We start from the raw sequence: 26,115 nt of genomic DNA, 5'->3' as shown, positions 1-26,115 counted from the left end.
TTCCCCACCCCCTGTCTTTGTCTCTCTCGGTGTCTTTCTTCTTTTTTTGGTATTCCTATTATACATATGTTATACTTTTTGTAGTTGTCCCAGTCCTTAAATATTCTCTTTTTTCAGAATTTGTTCTCTTTGCTTTTCAATTTTGTGTTTTGGTTTTTTTTTGAGACAGGGTCTGGCTCTGTTGCCCAGGCTGGAATACAGTGGCACAATCTCGGCTCGGTGCAACCTCTGCTTCCTGTGTTCAAGCGCTTCTCCTGCCTCAGCCTCCTGAGTAGCTGGGACTACAGGCATGCACCACCATGCCCAGCTAATTTTTGTATTTTTGGTAGAGATGGGGTTTTACCATGTTGGCCAGGCTGGTCTTGACCTCCTGACCCCAAGTGATCTGCCCACCTTGGCCTCCCAAAGTGCTGGGATTACAAGTATGAGCCACCGTGCTCAGCCTGCTTTTCAATTTTGATGCTTTCTATTGGGATAAACAGCAAGATCAGAGATTCTTTTTTTCCGCCATGTCTAGTCTACCAATAAGGCCATCAAAATCATTTTCATTTCTGTTGCAGTGCTTTTGATCTCTAGCATTTCTTTCTGGTTCTTATAATTTATATCTCTGTGCTAACATTACCTATCTATTCTTGTATGGTGTCTACTTTACCCATCAGAGACTTCAGCATCTTAATCATCTTAATCATCATTGTTTCAAATTTCTGGTATGAGAATTCTAACATCCCCACCATATGTGAGTCTGGTTCCGATGCTTGTTCTTCCTCTTCAAACTGTCTGTGTGTATTTGTATTTGTTTTGTTTCATTTTGTGCCTTTTTCGTATTTTCTTGTATTTTCTTGATATATGGAAATGCTGTGCTGAGTAAAAGAACTGCTGTAAATAGACCACTTTTTAAAAACTTCTGTATTTATTTATTTATTTTTTGAGACGGAGTTTCCCTCTTGTTGCCCAGGCTGGAGTGCAATGGCGCTGTCTCAGCTCACTGCAACCTCCGCCTCCCGGGTTCAAGCGATTCTCCTGTCTCAGCCTCCTATAGTGATAAATCAGCCTCCTAGGCAGCTGGGATTACTGGCGCCCATCACTACACCCGGCTGATTTTTGGTATTTTTAGCAGAGACGGGGTTTCACCATGTTGGCCAGGTTCCTCTCGAACTCCTGATCTCAGGTGATCTGCTTGCCTTGGCCTCCCAAAGTCTGGGATTACAGGCGTGAGCCAACGCAGCCGGCCTTTTTTTTTTTTTTTTGAGATGGAGTCTTGCTCTGTTGCCCAGGCTGGAGTGCAGCGGCCCCGATCTCGGCTCGCTGCAACCTCCGCCTTCCAGGTTCAAGCAATTCTCCTGCCTCAGCCTCCCGAGTAGCTGGGATTACAGGCACATGCCACCACAGCCTGGCTAATTTTTGTATTTTTAGTAGAGACAAGGTTTCACCATGTTGGCCAGGCTGGTCTCAAACTTCTGACCTCAGGTGATCTGCCTGTCTTGGCCTCCTAAAGTGATGGGACTACAGGTGTGAGCCACCACGCCCTGCCTAAAACTTTTTTTGAGACAGAGTTTTGCTCTGTCACTCAGGCTGCAGGGCAGTGGCACGGTCATGGCTCACTGCAGCCTCCTCCTCCTGGGTCAAGCAATCCTCCCACCTCAGCCTCCTAAGTAGCTAGTGAGAGGTGACAGCATGCTGGCAGTCCTCACAGCCCTCGCTCGCTCTCGGCGCCTCCTCTGCCTGGGCTCCCACTTTGGCGGCACTTGAGGAGCCCTTCAGCCCGCCGCTGCACTGTGGGAGCCCCTTTCTGGGCTGGCCAAGGCCGGAGCCGGCTCCCTCAGCTTGCGGGTAGGTGTGGAGGGAGAAGCGCGAGCGGGAACTGGGGCTGCGCGCGGTGCTTGGGGGCCAGCTGGAGTTCCGGTTGGGCGTGGGCTTGGTGGGCCCCGCACTCGGAGCACCTGCCGGCCCCGGGCAATGAGGGGCTTAGCACCCGGGCCAGCGGCTGCGGAAGGTGTACTGGGTCCCCCAGCAGTGCTAGCCCACCGGCGCTGCGCTCGATTTCTCGCCGGGCCTTAGCTGCCTTCCCGCGGCGCAGGCCTCGGGACCTGCAGCCCACCATGCCTGAGCCTCCCACCCCCTCCGTGGGCTCCTGTGCGGCCCAAGCCTCCCCGATGAGCGCCGCCCCCTGCTCCACGGTGCCCAGTCCCATCAACCACCCAAGGGCTGAAGAGTGTGGGCGCACGGCGCGGGACTGGCAGGCAGCTCCACTTGCAGCCCTGGTGCGGGATCCACTGGATGAAGCCAGCTGGGCCCCTGAGTCTGGTGGGGACGTGGAGAACCTTTATGTCTAGCTCAGGGATTGTAAATACACCAATGGGCACTCTGTATCTAACTCAAGGTTTGTAAACATACCAATCAGCACCCTGTGTCTAGCTCAGGGTTTGTGAATGCACCAATCGACACTCTGTATCTAGCTACTCAGGTGGGGCCTTGGAGAACCTTTGTGTCAACCCTCTGTATCTAGCTAATCTGGTGGGGACGTGGAGAACCTTTGTGTCAACCCTCTGTATCTAGCTAATCTGGTGGGGACGTGGAGAACCTTTGTGTCTAGCTCAGGGATTGCAAACGCACCAAAAAGCGCCCTGTCAAAACAGACCACTTGGCTCTACCAATCAGCAGGATGTGGGTGGGGCCAGATAACAGAATAAAAGCAGGCTGCCCGAGCCAGCAGTGGCAACCCCTTCCACACTGTAGAAGTTTGTTGTTTCACTGTTTGCATTAAATCTTGTTGCTCACTCTTTGGGTCCATACTGTCTTTGTGAGCTACAAAACTCACCGCGAAGGTCTGCAGCTTCACTCTTGAAGCCAGCGAGACCACGAACCCACCGGGAGAAACGAACAACTCTAGACGTGCTGCCTTAAGAGCTGTAATACTCACCGCGAAGGTCTGCAGCTTCACTCCTGAGCCGCCAGGCTATGCACCCACTAGAAGGAGGAAACTCCCAATTCATTGGAACATCAGAAGGAACAAACTCCAGGCACGCGGCCTGTAATACTCACCGCGAGTGTCCGCGGCTTCGTTCTTGAAGTCAGTGAGACCAAGAACCCACCAATTCCAGACACACTAGGACTATAGGCACATATCACTCTACCTGACTAATTTTTCTGCATGGACGAGATCTTACTATGTTGCCCAGACTGGTCTTTAACTCCTGGGCTCAAGCAACCATCCCTATGCCTTTAGAAATGTGGTATCAAGGTATAGGGGAAGGGGAAGCATTCTATAGTTCTCTGAGTAGGTCTCAGTCTTTTGGTCAAGACTATATCTCTGGATTGGGAACTTCACACCTTTCTCAGTTTCCCCTACCCCCTTTGGTGGGACAGGATGACTAGAGTGGGTTAGAGTTGGGTATTTCCTTTCTTCCATGTGGGAGGCTAGAGATGACTGAAGTTGGGTATTTCCATTTCCTAAGGTCTGTTAGGCCCTGATAAAAGCCCAGCAGGTTAGGCTCTGGTTAAATAGATTGTTTTTGAGGGCTGACCTTGTTGAGAAGTACAGAATGCTGTGGCATATTTCAAAATGGTTCCTTTTCTCATTCCCTCTGCTAGAAGCATGAGAGGAATTTTCTCTGATACTCATTTTGCTGAATTCCTGGAGGTAAAACTCACAAAAGTATGGGGGGGGGTCCCCTGGTGACTGGGTTCTCCTGGAGTTTTTTAATCGTAGTTATTCACATTAAGTGAGATCATGTCATTTTAAAAGACTGACTGGGCTTTAGATTAAAAGGTAAGATAAGGATAAATCAGTTTCCTTGAGATACCTACAACATAGGAGGAAGAGAAATGACCTAAATATGGTAGAACTGGAAAACTTGATTTATTCTGCTTTCCCATCACAAAAAATACTGTGCTCTTCCCTTTATATTTATTTTTGTTTAGTTTTAGGTGACTGTTAATCAGTGTAAGTTCAAGTCTAACAAAGTATACTCCAAATTATATGGCACTGCAACAAGTGTAACACCACCAAACAGACATAGCAATAATATACTGAAATTATTTCTCTCTACTTTAGGTGACAATAAATGGAAAATACAAATAAAATTTACAGTGACAATAAATGGAAAATACAAATAAAATTTCATTTCATCTATTGTTGGGTTAATGACCTTGTAGTTTTAGCACAGCTGTAACAACTGGCATGTGAAGCAGTTTGAGTATGTAAAGGTCAGTAATGCTGGTTTTCATTTGCAAAATCAGTTGTTACAAATACCAAGAGCAAGGGTTCAAATAAACTACAACATAAATTTTCATTGTAGAATCTATGATTCATATGAATATAGAGAGAGGAATATACACTTTTTTTTTTTTTAGAGACAGAGTTGTGCTCTTGTCACCCAGGCTAGAGTGCAGTGGCACAGTTATAGCTCACTGCACCTTCAAACCCATAGGCTAAAGAGATCCTTCCAAATAGCTGGGACCATAGGCACATGCCACCATGCACAGCTTCAAATACATTTTTAATAAAAATGTTCTTATTTGATATACTTAATAGGAAATCACTAAAATGTTATATACAGGAATATTGACTGTCAGGCCTCTGAGCCCAAGCTAAGCCATCGCATCCCCTGTGACCTGCACGTATACATGCAGATGGCCTGAAGTAACTGAAGAATCACAAAAGAAGTGATATTTAAATGGCCTGTTCCTGCCTTAACTGACGGCATTCCACCACAAAAGAAGTGAAAATAGCCGGTCCTTGCCTTAACTGATGACATTACCTTGTGAAATTCCTTCTCCTGGCTCATCCTGGCTCAAAAATCTCCCCCACTGAGCACCTTGTGACCCCCACCCCTGCTCACCAGAGAACAATCCCCCTTTGACTGTAATTTTCCTTTACCTACCCAAATCTTATAAAACGGCCCCACCCCTATCTCCCTTCGCTGACTCTCTTTTTGGACTCAGCCCACCTGCACCCAGGTGATTTAAAAAGCTTTATTGCTCACACAAAGCCTGTTTAGTGGTCTCTTCACACTGACGTGAGTGAAATTGACTAAAAAGGGGTGCCAGGGAACTTTATGGGAAGAAACAAATGTTCTATATGATGACTGGGGGTGGTTTTTACTCAGGAACATATATTCGTTAAAACCCACCTGTATACTTCAAAGTTATACATCAATTAAAATATTTGGAAACAAGTTATATAAATAGACCATTCAATATTATTTCTTCTTCAGATTATGCAATATTTTTCTTTAAAACATGTACACAGTCTTGTGAAGTTTGTAAATCTATAGGATCCAGATCCAAATTCAGTAGCATTTATTTTTCTCTATATATGTAAACACACACACAAATATACATATACACGTTACACACACATATATGTGTATATATATTTTTCCATCTCTTGCTGCATCATTGAAGGTTGTGAACTTAAAGCAGGAACCACTGAATTTCTTCTTGGACTAAGATAGCTATTAAACACTGCGAACCCAGAAAATCTGAGACAGGTCTCAGTTAATTTAGAAAATTTTTTTCCAAGGTTGAGGATGTGCCAGTGGCACAGTCTCAGGAAGTCCTGATGACATGTACCCAAGGTGGTCAGGGCACAGCTAGGTTTTATATATTTTAGGGAGACATGAGACATCAATGAATATATTTGAGAAGTACATTGGTTCGGTCTGGAAAGGTAGGACAACTTGAAGCAAAGTCAGGAAGACATGAAGCTGGGAGGGAGCTTCCAGGTTACAGGTAAGTGTTACATAAACAGTTACATTTTTTGAGTTTCTGATTAGCCTTTCCAAAGGAGGCAAATTAGATATGCATCTATCTCAGTGAGCAGAGGGGTGACTTTGAATAGAATGGGAAGCAGGTTTGCCCTAAGCAGTTTCCAGCTTGAGTTTTCCTTAGTGATATTGGGGGCACAAGATATTTTCCTTTCACAGCACTAAATGGTTAATGAGACTGACAACACCAAGTTGCATCAAATTGGCCTTGTGGTCGGAGTTCTGGTTAATTGTCTCCTCTGTTGTTTCCAATGAGAAGCTACAGGAGGTTTCTGCTTTCTACTAGTCTTTCATTAATCTTGCCTAGTTTATTTGACAATGATTTTCTAATTTTTAATTTTCCAGATTGAATTGTTTATATTTTTCCAATCCTGCTTTATTTGAATCCTCATGGCAATTTTTCGTTTTGGAGCACTGAGGTTCTAGGTACTTAATTCTCAGTTCCATCTGACTCAGTTGTTGACAATTCCCTTTAGATGCTCCTTGTGTCACTTGCCAGGTTGTGTTCTCACAACCATTACATTATTAACTCATTTAATATTCATAACAATGGGTGGAAGGAGCCACTTAGGAATAATCTCAAGGCAGGAGGCACCCAAATACCTAGTTTTACAAACTTCACAAGAATGTGTACGTATTTTATTATTTATTTATTTATTTTGAGAGGGAGTCTTGCTTTGTCGCCCAGGCTGGAGTGCAGTGGCGCAATCTCGGCTCACTGCAACCTCCACCTCCTGGGTTCAAGCAATTCTCCTGCCTCAGCCGCCGGAGTAGCTTCAAGCGGCTCGCCATTACATCTAGCTAATTTTTTTGTATTTTTAGTAGAGATGGGGTTTCACCATGTTGGCCAGGCTGGTCTTGATAAGGTTATACCTTATCAATGGGTGGAAACTGATTTCGTTTCTATTTTAAGTATGAAGAGACTGGATCCCAGAGATGTTGTCATTTGCAATACAGAGATGTATACAAGATCAGGCAGAGGAGTTAGAGAGCACATACACACATACGTCCCAATCCAAAAAATACCACAGTGAGGTAGTATAAGGAAAAAGACTGAACTGGGAATAGAAAGGGATTCTAATCCTAGTTTTGCCATTTGCTACTTGTGAAACTTTAATAACATCTTGGGCCTGTTTCTACAGCAATTAAGAATATGTGCTCCTGTAGCCAAATCAAGTGAATGACCTTGGGTGAGTTACTTAACCTCTCTGTGACTATTTACTCATCTGTAATGTGTTAATAATAATTCATTAATAATTCATTCATTTCAAATAGCAAAATTCTTGACAATCTTATGATTTCAGCAAACAATATTATCTTTTTTTAGTGAGAGTAGCAAGACAAAGGTGGGCATGTCATTGATAAGGAAACAATAAACATTTAAAGAGAGTGATTATTGAGGCAGGAAAATAGGGCCTGGAGGCAGGAAACATACAACTGTTTCACACTTCAGGTATAGCAGGAAATATCTTCTCCATAGGGCTTACACCATAAATGACTTTGTAACTTTACTTCATCCTCTCCATTTACATAGGGCGAACCCGAAGTAACCAATTGAATCCTCTAGGGGGTATTTAAACTCCCAAAAATTCTGTAACGGTGTCTTTGAGTTCCTATGCTCGGCCCCCTCCCACACTGTGGAGTGTACTTTCACTTTCAATAAATCCCTTTGTCCCTTCCTTGCTTTGTGTGATTTGTTCAATTCTTTGTTCAAGACGCCGAGAACCTGGACTCCCTCCACCTTTAACAATTATGACACTTTATAGCTGCTACAGTATGATTTTGGTAGAAATATTGCTTGATGTTAACTTTGCAGCAGCCTGTCAGTGTCATTGAGTCTGGTTAATAGCAGGGCTGATTTTTGCCTTCTCAAATGCGATAAAACATGTAAAGTACTTAGAAGAGAGCCTGACATACAGTGTGTGCTTAATTGGCTATTTTTATTGTAGAATAAAGGTGTCTGATTTTTCTGGGACCCTGTGATTTTTAATTAGTGGTTTAATGTTTGTGTGTTATAAAAGAGATAATAAGAACCTGTTTCTGTCCTTTGCTTACTAGAGATCTGTCAATGATGTAATGCAGAGGAACTTTACTGCATACAAATTATTCACGTTATACCCTAGTCACAGTGGAGGTGTCACATAGATCAGACTCTCCAGCCGCCATGCCTACACCTCCCAATTAGGACCTCAGGCCTGTGCTAGCCACGCCCCAAACCCTAAATCTCTCCAGCCGCAGACAACCCTGGGAAATGTAGTCTGCGGACAAGAGCCAGCCGGCCCACAGCCAGAGCCATGCAAGCGCAGTTCTCTTCGGACAGGTAAACCCTTTCTCAGCGGGCTCCTCCGCGCGCTGAGTGTCAGTTGCACGTCTTACCTGATAGGTGGGTAGGCACTCGCCTGTGGAGGAGCCTGAAGCTTCTAGGGGTGCCTTGCTCTTTCAGGAGAAAGCGGCCAGAAGGAGCGGGTGGGGAGCCCTGGAGAGGTGGGAGTGGAGGCTCTCTTTTATACCTGCGTCTGTCGCTGATTCCAAAAGGCGTAGGGGAGCCCGGGACGCGCCCTCCAGGCCACTGGGCGGGCAGTGTATCCTGCGGGAACCCGAGCCTGCTCGGGGCTCTGTGGGGTTGAGGGTCGTGGAAGGCTTCTAGGCGCAGGAGCGGCGGCGACTGTGGCTACTGACATTAAGAAGGGTCCCCGGGAGTTTTGCGAGAAATTAGAGGGTGACGACGGCCAGCGGGCGCTGGTCATAAAATTCCGGGCTCAGCCCGGCCTCCAGAGGTCAGAAATAGGTGGTTATCTGAGAGGGAGGGACGAGGCGAACTCTCCGAGAGCCACAAACTGGAGAAGCCGCTCCCGCTGGCTGGGACCAGGGACTCTCCTGCAAGAGGCCTAGGGTCACTAAGGAAACATAACCAGCGGTAGTGCAGGGAACGGAACCTGCGTGATGTCACAGCGGCTGGAGCAGGTAAGGTGGAGGATACGACTTTGCCTGAAGAGAGATAAGAAATAGACCAGCTCAAGAGCGAGTGTGTTCTGGGAACTGATTTGAGAAAGGAGAGCTTTCCCTTTCCTCACCTGAAGGCTGAGGAAAACACACACACACACACACACACACACACACACACACACGAGTTTTCGTGTGAGAAAGTGGGAAGAAAGCGAAATTTCACGCTTGTGTAGTAGGGGCTGTATGAAGACGACCAAAACCCCTCTCTGGGTCACTTCAAATGTACGTACCCCTTTCTCCACTCCAGCCTTTTATCTATCATAGTACAATGGAAACAGCCTGGTTTAGTTAATTTTAAAATTATCATACATAAAATTGGCATGGTGGGGCATACTGTTCTAGAACATGTTTAGATTCCGGTAACTACTACCACAGGATGCAGAGCTGTTTCATTCACTCCAGAAAACTTCCTTGTGCTACCCCTTTATATTTACACTCTTTTCCCACCCTTAACCCTGGCAGCCACTGATTGTTCTCCATCTCTATAGTTTTGTGTTTTCCAGAGTGTCATATAAGTGGAATAATACAATATGTACATTTTCACACTGGCTGCTCTCCCTCAGTATGAAGCCTTTAAGGTGGCCACATTATTGTGTCACTTTCTTCTTTTTTGCTGAATAATATTGTTATTGCTAAATAATATTGTATATAGATGTATCAGGTTTTAAAAAAAATCTCACCTTTTGAAGGACATTTGTATCATTTCCAGATTTTAGTAATTATGAATGATGCTGCTGTAAATGTTCACCTACAGGTTTTTGTGTGAACATACATTTTTCTTGAGCCAGGATTTTGAATCCAAACAGGTCTGAATTTGAATCCTGGCTTTGAAACTTATTGGCTCTGTGGTAACCTTGGGCAAGTTATTTAACCTTTTCGGGGGATTTAACTTTCATAGTGGGTTGTTGTGAGGTTAAACGACCCAATATATCTCAATAGTTTTCAACTCTTTCAGACCAAGCGGGCTCTTTGTATAACAAATATTTTGTAATGCCCCCATTTCTATCCATAAATAAAATTCATTAAATTGGCAATAAGCTTAACCTACCTATTTTAAAGCCATATGATGCCCTAATTCTACAATAAAGGAGAAATAAAAGAGAATACACTGCAACTCAGGCTGATAAAATGATCGAATCTCAGTAAAATTCAGAACAAAGTACCTTGATTTAGACCATAGTTGTCCTTATAGAAAATCATCATATATTAGCACTGAAAAAAAAAAAAGAAAGAAAGAAAAGAAAAAGACTCTGTGGTTGTGTGTAAAAAAAGAGTTAGGTTCTAGTCTCTGATAATTATCAATAGAATTTTTACCCATCTGAATGTCCTGCAAAACATTAAAAAATTGTTTGGGATTGTCCTGTGCTGAAGGACATCTGGGATCCCTGACTCCTACAAATTAAATGCCAGTAGTTATTTCTTCCACTCAATACAAGGACCAGGTCCTGTCTGCTGAGTTCCTCTGGTTTATGTGAAACATTCAATATAATAACTAGCTCATGGCCGGGCGCGGTGGCTCACCCCTGTAATCCCAGCACTTTGGGAGGCCGAGGCAGGCAGATCACGAGTTCAGGAGATCGAGACCATTCTGGCTAACATGGTGAAACCCCGTCTCTACTAAAAATACCAAAAAAAAAAAAAAAAAATTAGCCGGACATGGTGGCGGGCGCCTGTAGTCCCAGCTACTCGGGAGGCTGAGGCAGGAGAATGGTGTGAACCCGGGAGACGGAGCTTTCAGTGAGCCGAGATTGTGCCACTGCACTCCATCCTGGGCGACAGAGCGAGACTCTGTCTCAAAAAATAAATAACTAAATAAAAATAAAATAACTAGCTCATGGCAGCTGCAAGCAATAACATTCTAAACCTCCAAGAGGACATCCTCCATTGCTTAGGTCTTTCAGGAGCTGGCTTTAACAATTTCATTTTCTTATAAACTCATGCTTCTTAAACTTGAGTATGCATCAGAGTCACCTGGAGGATTTGTTAAACACATTGCTAAACTCACCACCAGAGTTTTTGATTCAGTAGGTCTGGGGTTGGGCCTAACAATTTGCATTTCTGGCAAGTTCCCGGGTGATGCTGGTGCTGCTGATCTACGGACCATAGTTTGAGAAGCAGTGTCCTAAACCTCTTCCTTCAAATGTTTAAATTCAGAGGATCTTTTTAAAATCTTACATCTTTCTTATTCCCTACAAAGTTCTGTAAAACAAAAGGAACAGATACTCTTATCCCTATTGTTTTGTTACCGAACAAACAAAGATTCAAGGAAGTTAGTGACTTGCTTAATGCTGTACAGCATTTTACTAACTCAGATATTAGAATTCAGGGTTCTTCAATCCCAGTGAAGTGTTTATTCCATTAACCAACACTGCCTCTGATAATAAGGGCAGTATGCCCTATGTTGAAAGGATTTGCCAAGTAATTTCTCCTATATCCTCGAAAAAACCAAGGGCGACAGCATTATTTTATAGCACTTAATGATAAATTCCTCATTTTTACACTCTATTAGCTTATGTTGGCCTCCTTGTTCTTAGAGCATGACAAGGATATTCCAACCTCAAGATTTTGTTTGCAGACTTTGCACTTGCTGTTTTCTCAGTCTGCCCAGAGATATCTTTATGGCTTACTCTCTCTTTTTACACAAATCCGATAAAAATGTTTCCTTCTCAGAAAAGCTTTCCCTGGCCATGCCATCTAAAATAAAGGTCTTGTTTATCCTTTTATTCTACTTTTTTGGGGATATGTTTGTAACTACTTGAGTTTATATATGCTTGTATGGTTTGGTTTAGTTTTGCTTTTTTTTTTTTTTTTTGCTGGCCCTCTCATAGGGGCTTTATTCTGTCTTGTACTTGTTGCATCCCCAGTGCCTATAAAAGTCCTTATCACAGAGCTGAATGAATGTGAGAATTCAATATGTTAAAATCTAAATTATGAGTTTGACACAAATTTTAGCCTCGTCTATTCATTTCATCAAACATATCAAGACTTACATATATATGCCAGGCACAGTTTTGTTGTTAGGAATATAAAGATGGGAAAATCTTGATTCGTGTGTAGGGGTGGGGATGGCAAAAGATACTCCAAAAGATAATTTCAAAACAGGTAGTAAATGCTATGATAGAGTCTAGGTAACTGCTCTTGTTATCTGGAACCTACTTAAACCATGGATGGTGTCTTAGACTGCTTCTATTGCTGTAAAGGAATACCTAAGCTGGTTAATTTAAAAAGAAAAGAGGCTTATTTGGCTCATAGTTCTGTAGATTATATAAAAAGAATGGCTCCAGCATCTACTTCTGGTGACGGCTTCAAGTTGCTTCCATTCATGGTGGAAGGTGAAAGAGAGCTGGCACGTGCAGAGATTACATGGCAAGAGAAGAAGAAAGCGAGAATGGAGAGGGGGACCAGGCTCTTTTTAACAACCGGCTTTAGCCTGGAGCGGTAGCTCACACCTGTAATCCCAGCACTTTGGGAGGCCGAGGCGGATGGATCACGAGGTCAAGAGATTGAGACCATCCTGGCCAACATGGTGGAACCCATCTCTACTAAAAATACAAAAATTAGCCGAGAGTGGTGGCGGGTGCCTGTAGTCCCAGCTACTCAGGAGGCTGAGGCAGGAGAATCGCTTTATCCCGGGAGGCGGAGGGTGCAGTGAGCCAAGATTGTGCTAATGCACTCCAACCTGGCGACAGAGTGAGACTCCACCTCAACCAAAGTAAATAAATAAATGAATAAATCAGCTCTTGCAGGAACTAATAGAGTGAGAACCTTACTATGGGGGACAATACCAAGCCATTCATGAGGGATTCACCGCCGTGATCCAAAGCTTCCCATTAGGCCCACCTCCAACATTGGGAATTGAATTTCAACAAGAGGTTTGGGAAGGCAAACATTCAAACTATTGAGAATGCAATGCCTGTGGCGTTTCTGTGGTCATGAGGTGGCAAGGAATGTTTGGTTGCCTTTACTTCCTGGAGCTGAAGATTCAGTTGGTATGACTTCAAAAACATACCACATATGTGGATTTCTAGACCAGTGCTATGCAATATAACTTTTGTGGATATTTTTGATGTATACATTGCTCGGTACAGTAGCCACTAACCACATTAGCTATTGAGCACTGAAATGTGACTATTGCAATTGAAGAATTAAGTCTTTTATTTAATTTTAATTTAAATAGCTACATGTGGGGAATGGCTACCATATTGGAGAGTGTAGTTCTAGAATATCAAGTGGTTGCTATAGACACAAGCTGACTTCTTCGTAGCTCCTCTCTCTTCCCTCAGAGCCACTGTCTCAAGACTCTGCCCTTCTTCAAGAGAAGAGCCCAGAAGAAGAGAGAATGACTGCTAGGCCCTTTATGGCTGGATTCAGGGTGAGCTGGATTTTCTTTTCATTTCCTGAAATATCTTATATTTTCTACTTTCATTCTGGTGGTTTGGGGCCCAAAAAAACTTCAATTCAGTCACTTGAATTCCAGATATTTTATTTTCTAGGAACCAAGGCCTATTCTCTTTGATCATGAATTTTATAAGATTGGTTGTCTATTGCCACCTGCCTTCCCATAGTGTTTTTGTTTTTGTTGTTTGTTTGTTTGTTTGTTTCTGGTAACTAGCATAGCATTTAGTAACTAGCATTTGATAACTAGCATAGCAGGTAGGCTCTCAATTAGGCATTGTCTGTGGTATTCAGTTCTTCAGCAGCCTTGTCTAACCAAGGAGTTAAGGAAGAATTCAAGGAAACACACACATCCATTTTAAGTAGTAAAGAGAAAACATCCCATAGGAGTTCAGAGAAGGAGAGTGTGATTTGGAGGATTTTATGAAGGGGTGGAATTTTGGTGTGCACTGAGATATGGTTGCAATTTTGTCAAAGGAGAACTGAGGGATTTTAAGGGAAGAAAATATAAGACAAAACTTAGAGGTAGAAGAGACCGTGTCTTCTATGGGCAATGGGTAGTAGCCATATATTGAAAATTTTAAGGGTGAAATTTGCTGTGCTAAGTAGGACTAAGGGTTTGACTTTGTTGTAGAGCTGATTGTGAATTATTAGAAACTTTGGGAAAAAAAATGCCATGACACAGCTTGTTTTGGTAAGGAACAGTAATGGTTTGGTTTAGATTTAGGGGATGAAAGAGAAAGGAATTAAAAGTAACTCCAGTTAAGAGAACCTAGAATATCTAAGAGGAATAAGGTGCTTTGGAAGAGACACCAGTGTGCTGTGGAGGGGACATAGGTGGGATACTAATTGGGGTGAGTTAGCATTGTAAATAGATTATGTTAAGGTAATAAGACAAGTTGAAAATGTCATAGGATCCTTGGGTTATTGCTTCGCCAGCCAGAAGCCTCTATGGCCGGCAGCTCCTTCTGCCTGAGTAATTGAGTATTGGTTTTACCACTGGGCTCGTTCCACCCACTCAGCCTGGCAGGCTGTGCTCAACTCACACTACTGTCTCAGATCCCACATCTGCCAAGGGTGAGCCACACAGCAAGGGGTGTGTGGGCAAGTGAGCATGGGGTCTGGCCAGTGAGCACAACCAAGCATGCTGGCTGCTGTGGTGGTGCAAGCAGCTCTGCACAAGGCTGCAGCTGGAACAGATATACCGCATGCAATGGAAGTACTTCCACTGTGGGCACCCATGTCTGGACAAGGGGAAAGCAATGGCTTCTGGAAGCTTGGAGATGCCAGGAGCCACAGAGCCCCAAAGAGGGTGTCATAGTGCTGGCTCAGGGAGTCTCTAGATCTAGGCTCACTTAAGGGCTACAGCTCTTCTTTTCATTGCCTGCAATGTGGCAGATGGAGAGGCGTGTTTCAACCCTGTTTGTGTTAAAGCTTTTTCAGTCCTTCCATTTGGCAGGTCCCAAGTTTTTGGCCCATGCTTGGTCCATGTCCAGGAAGAATGAGGTATGTGGACAACTGGAGGGTGAGCAAGGTGGAGAGGAGCTTCATTGAGTGACAGAACAGCTCTCAGGAGACCCAAAGTGGGTGGCTTCTTTCCACAGACAGGTTGTATCCATGAGTGTCCAGCTGTCAGCAGAGAGGAGACCTGCAGTGGGTAGCTCGTTTCCGCAGTTAGGTCCTCCCCATGTCTGTTTGAATCTGACTGAGTCTGAGGTTTTTATGAGCTCAGAAGGGAGGAAGTGCGTGCTGATTGGTCCACGGTGGCCACGGGTGGCTGGAAGAAGCACCAGAAGTTCTCACTTAAGGCCAGGCTGTGGATTGCAGCCAGAACTGACAGCCCAGCCCCCATGTGTTAGGCCATCCCTGGCTGGAGGGTGGGGCTTCAAAGGGGACCCACCCCTTTCCACCCAGGAGCCTGTATGCCTCCTGTCACCATCAATTATGTCCTCCATGGTGCCCAGGCTGTTTGTGCTGGGCCTGAAGGCCCACACTGAGCCACCCTCAACCCGGCTCCAGCCTCCTTCCCATGCTCTTCAGTGCCCAAAGTCTGGAGGGGGGAAAGGTGGCAGGGGCTGGCATGTCAGCGCTGCCCTGAGCACACCTGGTCAGGTCGTGACTGCACCCAGGCTCAGCCTCAACTTTGCTGTAAAATCAGAGTGGATGCCAGGACCAGGGAGATGCCAAGCAGTGGGAGCAGGCACTTTGGAGCCTGTGGAGGACAGGGCTTCCAGGGCCCGCAAGAGCACAGGGATGCCCAGGTTCACAGCCACAGCTGGGCAGCTGCAGCTGTTCCTGGAAGAGTGGGGTTCCCGCCCCACCAACTTTCATGTTGAATTATAATCCCCAGTGTTGGAGGAGGGGCCTGGTAGGAGGTGATAGATCATAGGGGCAGATATCCACCTTGCTGTTCTTTTGATAGTGAGTGAGTTCTCACAAGATCTGGTTGTTTAAAAGTGGGTGGCACCTGCCCTCTCTCTCTCTCTTCCTCCTTCTCCAGCCATGTAAGGCATGCCTGCTTCCCCTTCACCTTCCACCATGATTGTAAGTTTCCTGAGGCCTCCCCAGGTGTGCTTCCTGTACAGCCTGTGGAATGGTGAGTCAATTAAATTTATTTTCTTTATAAATTAACCTGGTCTTAGGTAGTTCTTTGTAGCAATGCAAGAACAGACCAATAAATAATATACAATGTATTTATGTAGCGAGTGTATTGTTTGTCTTTCTTACTATGGAGTATGCTCTATGTAGGCAGAGTTTTTTTCTTTTTGTTTTGTTTTGTTTTTTAGTCTCTTTCACTGTTATATCACCGTGCCTAGAGTATTTAGCATATAGTACTCATTAAACTTGTGTTGAATAAATGTTGAATGATTTAAAACAATTAAAAGTTTATGCTCTCCAACCTCAAAATGCCTCCTCGATAATCTTGGCAGTCCCTAACACTTCTGTGGAAAACTTAATTTGCTATATTAATTTTAATCTTCATATGGCTGAATTTTAAGGTTTTCTCTTAAAAATCTTAAATTTTCTTACAGACTTTTAAACTACGTTTTTAGTAGCTGCTCTAGGGATTACAATATATATCGTTACTTCTTCACAATCTTCTTAGATTTAATGTGTCACTTCACAAAAAGTGGAAGCCTTGCAACTATATGTGTTCAATTATGACACCTCGTTCTTTTTGTTCTGCTTGTTGTTCTGTGTGTTACATCTACATATGTTATAAGTTGTTCAAGAAAATGTTATGTATATATTTTAAATAGTTATATATATTATAAAGAAATAAAGACAAAAGCAGCCAGGCGTGGTGGCTCATGTCTGCAATCCCAGGACTTTGGGAGACCAAGACAGGTGCATCGCTTGAGCTCAGGAGTTCAAGACCAGCCTAGCCAACATGGTTAAACCCTGTCTCTACTAAAACTTAAAAAAAAATACCTAGGCCTGTTGGTGCATGCCCGTGGTCCCAGCTACTTGGGTGGCTGAGGTGGGAGGATCACTTGAACCCAGGGTCAGAGGTTGCAGTGAGCCGAGATTGTGCCACTGCACTCCAGCCAAGATGACAGAGAAAAACCTGTCTCAAAAAAGAAAAAGAGGAAAAAAAAATAAAGATAAAAGCAAACTTTTAAAAACAAATTTTAATTTGCCCAATGATTTCTAAATGCTCTTTATTTCTTTATTTCTTTTTGGGAATCAGAATTTCTATCTGGTGTGATTTCCCTTCATCCAGAACTTTCTTAATTATTTCTGCATTAATCAAACAAAATTCACAGTGGCACTCCATCCATTTAGCCACTCTAGCCAGAGTCCAGAAATCCATCTTTATAGTCCCTTTCCCTTCATCTGTGTATCCAGGTTGCCATCAAACCTTGTCAAATTTATTTCCAAAATATATTTCAAATCTATCACTTCTTTCTATATTTACTCACTTTATCTTTAATTCATGTCCTTATCATTTCTTGCCTAGATTCCTGGAGCATCCACACAAATATTTTCCCATGTCTATTCTGGCCCTTCTACTTCTACTTACTCCACCTACTGCCAGAAGGGTCTTTTGCAGCTCTCAAATTTGATTTTGTCACCTTTTTGCTTACGACTCTTAAATGGCTCCCTAATGCTGTCAGGATAAAGATGCCATACTTTTTGCATGGCCTGTGAGCCTCATGTGGCTGGCCTCTAATTTTCAGTCTCAGTTCTTCCCCCTTTCTTCCTGTATACCTTCTTTGCTCTATTCACATTGGCCTTCTTTCAATCTCTCTTCCTCCCCATTCCCCCTGTCATGATGGTGCCTTCACACTTGCTATTTCCTCTGCTTGGTGTGGTTTTCTTTACTTTTTTCACCAAGGCAATGCCTATTCATCCTTCCGAAATGAGTTCAAGTAGTGCCTTCTGATATGAACCTCCACTAACACAGTGACCAGGTCAGATGCCCTTATTAAAGGTTCTCATGAAATCATGTGACTCTTTTTTTTGAGACAGAGTATCACTTTGTCACCCAGGCTGGAGTGTAGTGGCGCGATCTCGGCTCACTGCAGCCTCTGCCTCTCGGGTTCGAGCAATTCTCCTGCCTCAGCCTCCCAGATAGCTGGGATTACAGGCACGCGCCACTATGCCTGACTAATTTTTGTATTTTTAGTAGAGACGGGGTTTCACCATGTTGACCAGGCTGATCTTGAACTCCTGACCTCAGGTGATCTGCCCACCTCAGCTTCCCAAATTGCTAGGATTACAGGCGTGAGCCACTGTGCCCAGCCATGTGACTCTTTTTTAAAAGACATTTGTAACAGTTACAATTTTATATTTGTGTGTGATTGTTTGGTTATCACTTACTAGACACTCAGCTCTATGAAATCATGTGCTATTTCTGATTTTTGTTTAGCATTGTATTTTCAGTGCCTAGCACAGTGCTCGATAAATACATGTTGAATGAATAAATGTTTATTAGTTCAAAACAAAAGTATTATTCAAAACAAAAGTATCCTAAAAACGCTTTGAGGGAGAAAACTAATCAGTAGGCATTGCAATAACTGTAAAATTTGCTTTTTTATAATAAAAGTGATCAACTTTAAATATAAATACTTGACTCTATTCAACTTTGTACTCTGTAAACTCAAGAATGCTTCCCAGGAAAAGACTTTTCTCTGTTTTTCAAAATTTGATAATTCACATACTTTGTCGATCTATCTTCCTTTAACAAACCTTATATTTGCTTTATAATAATTGATGCATTTGAGTATATAATACATGTAATACCTGATACTTTGTAAATTCTTTTGCATTACATGAATAATGTTTGTGTTTAAAAGAAAAGGCTTTGCAGCATATTTTAGATCCTACGTTTCTGCCCCAATAGAGACTAATGAAGAGTCACGTATTCATCTATGACTTATTGTACCCATACTATGTACCAGGCACTCAAGCATGTCAAAACATTATTATTGAATGACAAATAATGTAATTCAATATGAATAGCAAATAATATCATTCAATATGAATAACATTCTTGTTATTCATTCTGCTCTTTCACTAAAAGTAATGTTAACTTTTAGATAGTGCGTTCTATATTCTTGGCTCTGTTCTAGGTGCTTTACGTTAACTCATTTAATCCTTGTAATAAGCCTGAGATGTAGGACTTGTTATTGTCCCCATTTTGTAGATGAGACAGAGTTTAACTGGCCAAGATTCTATAGTTGGTAGGTGGTAAACCTGGGATTTGAATCTAGGTCTAGCTCTAGAGTCTACACTCTTAAATAAGGTTTACTACCCACTAAACAGATTTCTTGATCTCTTCATGGGTCTCCCTAGAAGTTTAAAAAAGACTACTTATGGGCCGGGTGCAATGACTCAGGCCTATAATCCCAGCACTTTGGGAGGCCAAGGCGGGTGGATCACCTGAGGTCAGGAGTTTGAGACCAGCCTAGCCAATAGGCCAGCCTGGCCAATATGGTGAAACCCCATCTCTACTAAAAATACAAAAATTAGCTGGGCATGGTGGTGGGCACCTGTAATCCTAGCTACTCAGGAAGCTGAGGCAGGAGAATTGCTCGAACCTGGGAGGCGGATGTTGCAGTGAGCCAAAGATTGCACCATTGCACTCCAGGCTGGGTGACAGAGCGACTCCGACTCAAAAAAAAAGACTGCTTATGATCTCTTTTGAAGTCCTTCTTGTGTTCTATTTCCTCTAGGAAACCTTTCCTTATTCAGGCTGTTTTACTTTAATGTTAGCACTTATTGTTTTAACTATACTATTTGTCATTGGTTTATATTATTATATTATTTACCTACTTTATGCATACAAATCGTTTTTCTTTTTTCTTTCTTTTTTTTTTTGGAGATAGGGTCTCATTCTGTCACCCCAGACTCACTGCAGCCTCAAAATCCTGGGCCCAGGTGATCCTCCTACCTCAGCCTCCTGAGTAGCTGAGACCACCCATGTGTGCCATCATGCCTGGCTAATTTTTTGTATTTTTTGTAGAGACAGGGTTTCACCACCTTGCCCAGGCTGGACTCAAGTGATCTGCCCACCTCGGCCTCCCAAAGTACTGGGATTACAGGTGTGAGCCACCATGCCTGGCATACAAATCTTTTTTGCCCAAAATTTTAAGATAAAAAGCAAGGATAATGTCTCAAATTTATTTTATAGTGCCAAGAAAATTAGATTATAATGTGTAACACACAGTGAGTGCTCAACAAATATGTGATGTAACTTGATACTCTTTCTTTCATTTCCCCCAATTTGGTTACCTTCATCTATTACTTTGGATGCAAATCAGTATAATTGCTTCTGGTGTTAATGCAAATATATTTGGTTTTTAGTTACCAAAGACGTTGGAAGAGGTGGCTATGGACATCACCTGGGAGAAGTGGAAGCAAATGGACACTGTTCAGAAGTCCATATACAGAAACATGTTGGAAAAATATAGAAACCTGGTTTTGCTAGGTAAAGGTTAAAGGTTACTTTCTTTCTGCATGTTAGAATATTTTCATGCAGTGTTTTGTCATCTTTAGTTGTTAATAGTCATGGCAAGCGTAATGTGGTGGCTCAGAATGTGGGTTTTGGAGAGGAGACCTGAGTCCAAGTCCTGGCTTTGCTACGTTAAAAACCCTTAGGGTTTTAAAAACCTTTTGAGGCCATTCGCCATATAAATAGGGCTAAAAATAAAATATTGTAAAATCCTAAAAAAAAAACTGTTTCTTCAGGATTTCTTGTAAGAGACAGAATAAAATAAGTGGTTGGCATAAAAGCCCTGATATAGTATAAGGACTTGGTAAATGTTAGCGTTGCTGCTTTTCCTGTTATTATTGCCACTATTGTGTTTATTATTATTTGCATACTTTACTGCATTTGGCTTGGATTTGAAGGATCAGGTTCATTTCTGAGTTCAGAAACAACTGTTTCTCCTCCCTGTTTATGACAAAAGGTGTGACCCATGCAGATTTGGAAAGTGATTGCTAGGATTTACTTTACTTTCCTGAATTCTGACCCTGTAATTTGTGTTTGTCTCTCACCATTGTATTGTAAATATACTTATGAAGGACATGACTCCTTTTCTTTGAGAATCTGAGGACCTCTTCTTAGCCCTCTTTTATCTTTGCGGGTAAAATTGATCCAGTTCACTGTCTTTTATGAAATCATCTTTTCATGATGTGCATGACAGTGTAAAGCTCTGATTCATCTAATCTCCTAAGAACTCCATGGGTTCCTTTCATAGTTTTTGTTCCTGCCTCTTAATATTAGATGTCTATAAAATGTCATCTCTATAGTGGTTATTTCAGTTTACAGGTTGAATATTCCTCTTAGTATTTATGTCTATAATTATTTAAAAAGTAGATATTCACTATCAAACACTTAGTTTTCCAAATATAGGATATTGGCTTGACCAACATAGAGAAACCCCATCTCTACTAAAAGTACAAAAAATTAGCCAGGTGTGGTGGTGCATGCCTGTAATCTCAGCTACTGGGGAGGCTGAGGCAGGAAAATCACTTGAACCCGGGAGGCGGAGGTTGCAGTGAGCCGAGATGACGTCATTGGACTCCAGCCTGGGTAACAAGAGCGAAACTCCATCTCAAAAAAACAAAAAAGATCACATTGTCAGCAGTATGTAGTACTGAAAAGGCACCAAACAAGAAGCCTACCCCTTATGTCACACACATAGTAGGACTTGGGATTTAAGCTCAGGATATTCTGAGTCTCTAGCCATTATCTTTTTACTATATTGGACTGCTTCTTGGGGCAGCAGTAGAGACTAAGAGTTTGGACTCTGGAGTTTGACTTATGTGTACCTTAGACAAGTAACTTCAGCATTCTGAACCTCCCTTGAAATTGACATTCTATTATCTCACTTATAGGCTTGTTAGGAAGATTTGATATGTTGATCTTGTAAGTCAGCCCAGCATAAACTCAATTAATATTAGCTATAAACCAAAAACTTCATCAAAGTTCTTTCCCTTTTTCTAAGACATGAAATGATAACTTTGAAGACAACATGTGCAGACAGGAGAAAATAGATAAAGAATGTACAGCACTGCTATTAAGTGCTAAAATTAGAAGTTAAAATAGTAAGTAGTAGGAAATCAGGGAAACTGGAGAGTTAGGAATGTTGTGGGACTAGTGTCATTTGAGTGGCGCTCCAAAGTAGTGTCAAGAATTAGATGGGCAAAAGAAAGAAGAAAGGGCTTTTTGTGCAGGAGAAGCAATAATGAAGTATTGTTTGTTGTTATTGTTTTTGTTTTTGCTTTTCTTTTTTTTATAGACCAGTGTGATAAATAAATTAGAGTTAAAATGAGAAATGAGTGTTGAATGTTAGGAGTACAGCTAATAAAATCATTAATTTTTATGTGTAATATATGCCAGAATCTAGGGGACACATTGAAAACAGATGGTTTAGTAAAAATCTACATATTGAATGGAGAGACCCTCACCTCAATTTTTCCTTCTACTGGACTTCTACATCCTACTCCCTTTCAGGTAGAAGGTTAAAGTGATTCATTCTGGGGAAACTAATCAGCCTAAGATAAAAGAACTGTAGGTGCCAATATTTGGGCATCCTCTAATAAATCAGCCAGGTCCCTTCCCAGTCATCCTGCAATGAAACCCATTATAAATCATGACTTTACAAACAATTTTCAGTCATCATATTAATACAATAACTCTCTCTGAAGAATAAATCCAGAGTGAAGGACTACTTTTTAACATGCTGATGAAGAAGAGCTATCCTTTTTTCCCTATGCTTTATGTTACTTGCCTCTTTATCCATGACTGAAAGTGAAAAATAATGTAGATTTGTCATTAGAAAGACCTAATAATTATTTTTTCATTTCAAAAGAGTAAATTTCTCCCTTTTCATCCTTTCCTTTGTCCTTAAACCTAGAGTTTATGGTCTTTTTATATCAAGTGTAAAGCAATAACAGCAGTTACCTGACAAAGAATAATTAGCTAAAAGTATTACTTTGTACAAGTACTAAAAAATCTAATATAAAAGCTTATTGAAAATAAAAAGCTCTTAGTATTTTTTAAGATAATAGTTTCAATGCTGAGTAAGTAGTTTTCTCATAGGATAATTTCTAAAAGACTATTTCTTTCTGATAACAGTTTTCATTTCTTAATCCCTGCTCATTGTTTCTCTTTTCTAATATTCGCCATTTAGTTTTTTCCCTAATCATTCTTCTCACCTGACAGAATGTTTGCTTCATTCCCATTGATTGCGTTATGCTCTGTATCAGACACTTTCACTCCACTAGTATTTCCATCTCACTCCTCCCTAGATTACTATCTTATAGTCCCAGTATTTTATGTTCTCAGTATCTGCAATTTCATTATTCCATTCCTAATATACCAGCTTCTTTTCTCCCAACATTTGGCACATAGTAGAGTCATATTTTTATGTCTTTTAGATGGGAAGCTTGAACGTGGGGCCAAGACATCAAGAGTAGAGCAGCAGGACATTTCAAAAGAAGATTAATCTCAAAGATTAGAGATGGAAGAACTTGCAAAGAGAAAGTCTGTACCGGAAGAAATCTGGAAATCTAGAGGCCAGTTTAAGAATCAGCAGCTAAACAAGGAGAATAATCTAGGGCAAGAGATAGCTACCTGCACAAAAATTCCTACCAGAAAAAGAGACATAGAATCTAATGAATTTGTGAAAAATTTTACTGTAAGATCAATACTTGTTGCAGAACAGATAGATCCTATGGAAGAGAATTGTCATAAATATGGTACATGTTGAAAGATGCTCAAACAAAACTCAGATTTAATTATACAAAGAAAGTATGATGGAAAAAAAAAAACCTTGTAAATATAGTGAATGTGGGAGAACCTTCAGAGGCCACATCACTCTTGTTCAGCATCAAATAACTCATTGTGGAGAGAGACCCTGTAAATGTACTGAGTGTAGAAAGGGATTTAATCAGAGTTCCCACTTAAGAAATAATCAGAAAACTCTTTCAGGAGAAAAGCCCTACAAATGCAGTGAGTGTGGGAAGGCCTTCAGTTATTGCTTAGTTCTTAATCAACACCAGAGAATTCACAGTGGAGAGAAACCTTATGAGGGTACTGAATGTGGCAAGACATTCAGTCGTAGTACATACCTTACTCAGCATCAAAGAATTCACACTGGTGAGAAGCCCTATACATGTCTTGAATGTGGAAAGGCTTTTAGTCAGAACACACATCTTACTCTACATCAGAGAATCCATACTGGAGAGAAACCTTATGAATGCAATGAATGTGGTAGGTCCTTTAGTCAGAGTGCACATCTTACTCAACATCAAAGAATGTATACAGGAGAAAAACTCTATGAATGTAATGAATGTGAGAAAGCCTTCCATGATCACTCAGCTCTTATTCAACATCATATTGTCCATACTGCAGAGAAACCCTATGAATATCATGACTGGGAAAACTTTCAGTTACTGTTCAGACCTCATTCAACATCAGAGAATGCACACTGGAGAGAAACCATACAAATGCAATGAATGTGGGAATGCCTTTAGTGATTGTTCATCCCTTATTCAGCATCAAAGAACTCACACCGGAGAAGAGCCTTATGAATGTAAGCAATGTGGAAAAGCCTTTAGCAGAAGCACATACCTTACTCAACATCAGAGAAGTCACGCAGGAGAGAAACAGTATAAATGCAATGAATGTGAGAAAACTTTCAGCCTGAGTTCATTCCTTACACAGCATATGAGGGTTCAGACTGGAGAAAAACCCTACAAATATAATGAATATGGAAAAGCTTTTAGTGACTGCTCAGGACATTTTCAGAGAACTCACACTGGAGAGAAGCCCTGTGAATGTAATGACTGTGGGAAACCTTTCAGTTTCTGTTCAGCCCTAATTCAACATAAGAGAATTCATACCAGAAAGAAGCCCTGACTGTACCTTCATACCAGTAAATGCACTGACTGTGGAAAAGCCTTCAGTGATTGGTTAGCACTTGTTCAACATCAGATAACTCAACACTGGAGAAAAACCGTATAAATGTACTGAATGTGGAAAAGCCTTCAGTTGGAGTACAGACCTCAAAAATCACCAGAAAACTCATACTAGTGAAAAATCCTATAAATGTAATGAATGTAGAAAGGCCTTTAGTTACTGCTCTGGTCTTATTCAATGTCAGGTCATTCATACTATAGAAAAACCTTATGAATACGGTAAATGTGGCAAAGCCTTTAGGCAGAGGACAGACCTTAAAAAACATCAGAAAATGCATACCGAAGAGAAACCCTATGAATGTAATGAATGTGGGAAAGCCTTTAGCCAGAGCACATATCTTACAAAACACCAAAAAATTCATAGTGAAGAGAAATCAAATATACATACTGAGTGTGGGGAAACCATTAGACAAAACTCTTCTTTTTTACAACAATAAAAACCTCACACTGGAGAGATTCTCTGAATGCCTTAAGAATTTGGTTAATATGGAGACCCTTCCCAGGGAAACAGAAGGAGGATCGTGAAAACTGTTGACTACTTAGAATGATCACATGGTTTAGTGGAGAGAGCATGATTCTGGGTTTTAAAAGTCATGGATCTCAATCTCAGCTCCTATTACTAACTAGATCTTTTACTTTGGGGTAAGTCACTTCATATCTTTAGGCCTTAATTTCCTCATCTGAAAAACTGGAAGGCCTGACTTGTTGAGCTTTAAGATCCTCAATTATTATATTTACTAGGAATTCAAGTTTCTATAGATGTGGTTCAGAATTGTGACTTATTTATTGTACATCAGGTGTGATTCACAAGTGAGCTTGTAGTAGTTATTAAGGAGTCAATAAAGATATGATATAGAGCACGTGTCATGTAGCTGTTTATTACCCTTGCATTACTTTTCTAAAATACATGTCACAAATATTGAAGAAAACTAAGAGATAAAGTGGTATAAGTTCTATGAATTATTACATTAGGGGTTTGAGATCTTTTCTTGATTAAGAATATGGTATTAGATAAAAACTGAGAAAAAAAGAATCAAATTGTTGATAGATAAAGGCTAAGTTACCTGGATTTCATTCAAGCCCAATCTTGCAATATAAACCTCTACTAAGTTGAATATGGCAGTCATCATGTTCCAGCTGAGAAGGGGCTGGAAAACATGACTTAATCAAGTATCTAGAAAGGGTGAAATTGGAAAGTGCATTTGTTATTTCCACACCTAAATATGTAAAGGCCATGTAAATGAGAGTACATTTTGAGATCTAATATGTCTAGAAAAGTCTGTTGTCTTTTTCTTATGGTTACAGAGACGATGGCCTGAAAATATGAAGATTTAGCTCAGAAGCCTGTAATTTACAATTGATCATCTAGGGACAGGAAAATCCACTTGTTATGGAACTTATCCAGTGTGTGGCTTAGTGCAGACTTACTGAGTTTGGAGTTGGTTTTGGTGTCCAGGACAACTGCTTACACATAAGGATAAATAATGATGAACCTGCTAGATAGTCGTTGAGA

The 26,115-nt window shown here is 41.5% G+C and overlaps 1 protein-coding gene and 1 pseudogene across 5 annotated transcripts in view, besides 5 other annotated features; one reads left to right on the top strand and one right to left on the bottom strand.

Annotated features, from left to right (window-relative positions):
• ZNF391 (zinc finger protein 391) overlaps positions 1-8,667 on the bottom strand; it is a 29,294-nt gene extending 20,627 nt beyond the window's left edge. For 2 of the 3 annotated variants that reach the window (NM_001322288.2, XM_006715086.3), the window contains exon 1: positions 8,145-8,667. The gene's annotated coding sequence lies outside the window, so the exon portion shown is untranslated. The remainder of the gene's footprint in view (positions 1-8,144) is intronic. The other variant, XM_011514569.2, reaches the window with a different exon arrangement.
• Positions 4,450-4,978: an enhancer, noted in NCBI's record as "OCT4-NANOG hESC enhancer chr6:27346083-27346611 (GRCh37/hg19 assembly coordinates)". NCBI's record gives its function as "activates a minimal SCP1, AML or CMV promoter by ChIP-STARR-seq in naive H9 embryonic stem cells {active_cell/tissue: H9 hESC(naive)}" and the evidence as "EXISTENCE:reporter gene assay evidence [ECO:0000049][PMID:30033119]".
• Positions 7,908-25,459, top strand: ZNF204P (zinc finger protein 204, pseudogene; annotated as a pseudogene). 2 transcript variants are annotated; one of them, NR_024553.1, is made up of 5 exons: positions 7,908-8,088; positions 13,058-13,146; positions 15,670-15,765; positions 19,980-20,103; positions 23,061-25,459. The product of NR_024553.1 is annotated as a zinc finger protein 204, pseudogene, transcript variant 2 (transcript). The 2 variants fall into 2 exon arrangements; NR_002722.2 differs by lacking the exon at positions 7,908-8,088 and having other exon boundaries at positions 11,757-13,146.
• Positions 8,193-8,262: an enhancer, noted in NCBI's record as "active region_24282". NCBI's record gives its function as "activates an Ori minimal core promoter by ATAC-STARR-seq in GM12878 lymphoblastoid cells {active_cell/tissue: GM12878}" and the evidence as "EXISTENCE:reporter gene assay evidence [ECO:0000049][PMID:35858748]".
• Positions 10,221-10,383: a silencer, noted in NCBI's record as "fragment chr6:27340678-27340840 (GRCh37/hg19 assembly coordinates)". NCBI's record gives its function as "represses an EF-1alpha promoter that drives an FKBP-Casp9 reporter gene in an ReSE screen in HepG2 liver carcinoma cells {active_cell/tissue: HepG2}" and the evidence as "EXISTENCE:reporter gene assay evidence [ECO:0000049][PMID:32094911]".
• Positions 14,762-15,262: an enhancer, noted in NCBI's record as "H3K4me1 hESC enhancer chr6:27335799-27336299 (GRCh37/hg19 assembly coordinates)". NCBI's record gives its function as "activates a minimal SCP1, AML or CMV promoter by ChIP-STARR-seq in naive H9 embryonic stem cells {active_cell/tissue: H9 hESC(naive)}" and the evidence as "EXISTENCE:reporter gene assay evidence [ECO:0000049][PMID:30033119]".
• Positions 15,263-15,763: an enhancer, noted in NCBI's record as "H3K4me1 hESC enhancer chr6:27335298-27335798 (GRCh37/hg19 assembly coordinates)". NCBI's record gives its function as "activates a minimal SCP1, AML or CMV promoter by ChIP-STARR-seq in naive H9 embryonic stem cells {active_cell/tissue: H9 hESC(naive)}" and the evidence as "EXISTENCE:reporter gene assay evidence [ECO:0000049][PMID:30033119]".
• Positions 25,460-26,115: the final 656 nt, after the last annotated feature.

This window comes from Homo sapiens, chromosome 6, assembly GCF_000001405.40.
Source record: "Homo sapiens chromosome 6, GRCh38.p14 Primary Assembly".
Classification (NCBI taxonomy): Eukaryota; Metazoa; Chordata; class Mammalia; order Primates; family Hominidae; genus Homo; species Homo sapiens.
This window is presented reverse-complemented; position numbering and strand designations above follow the sequence as displayed.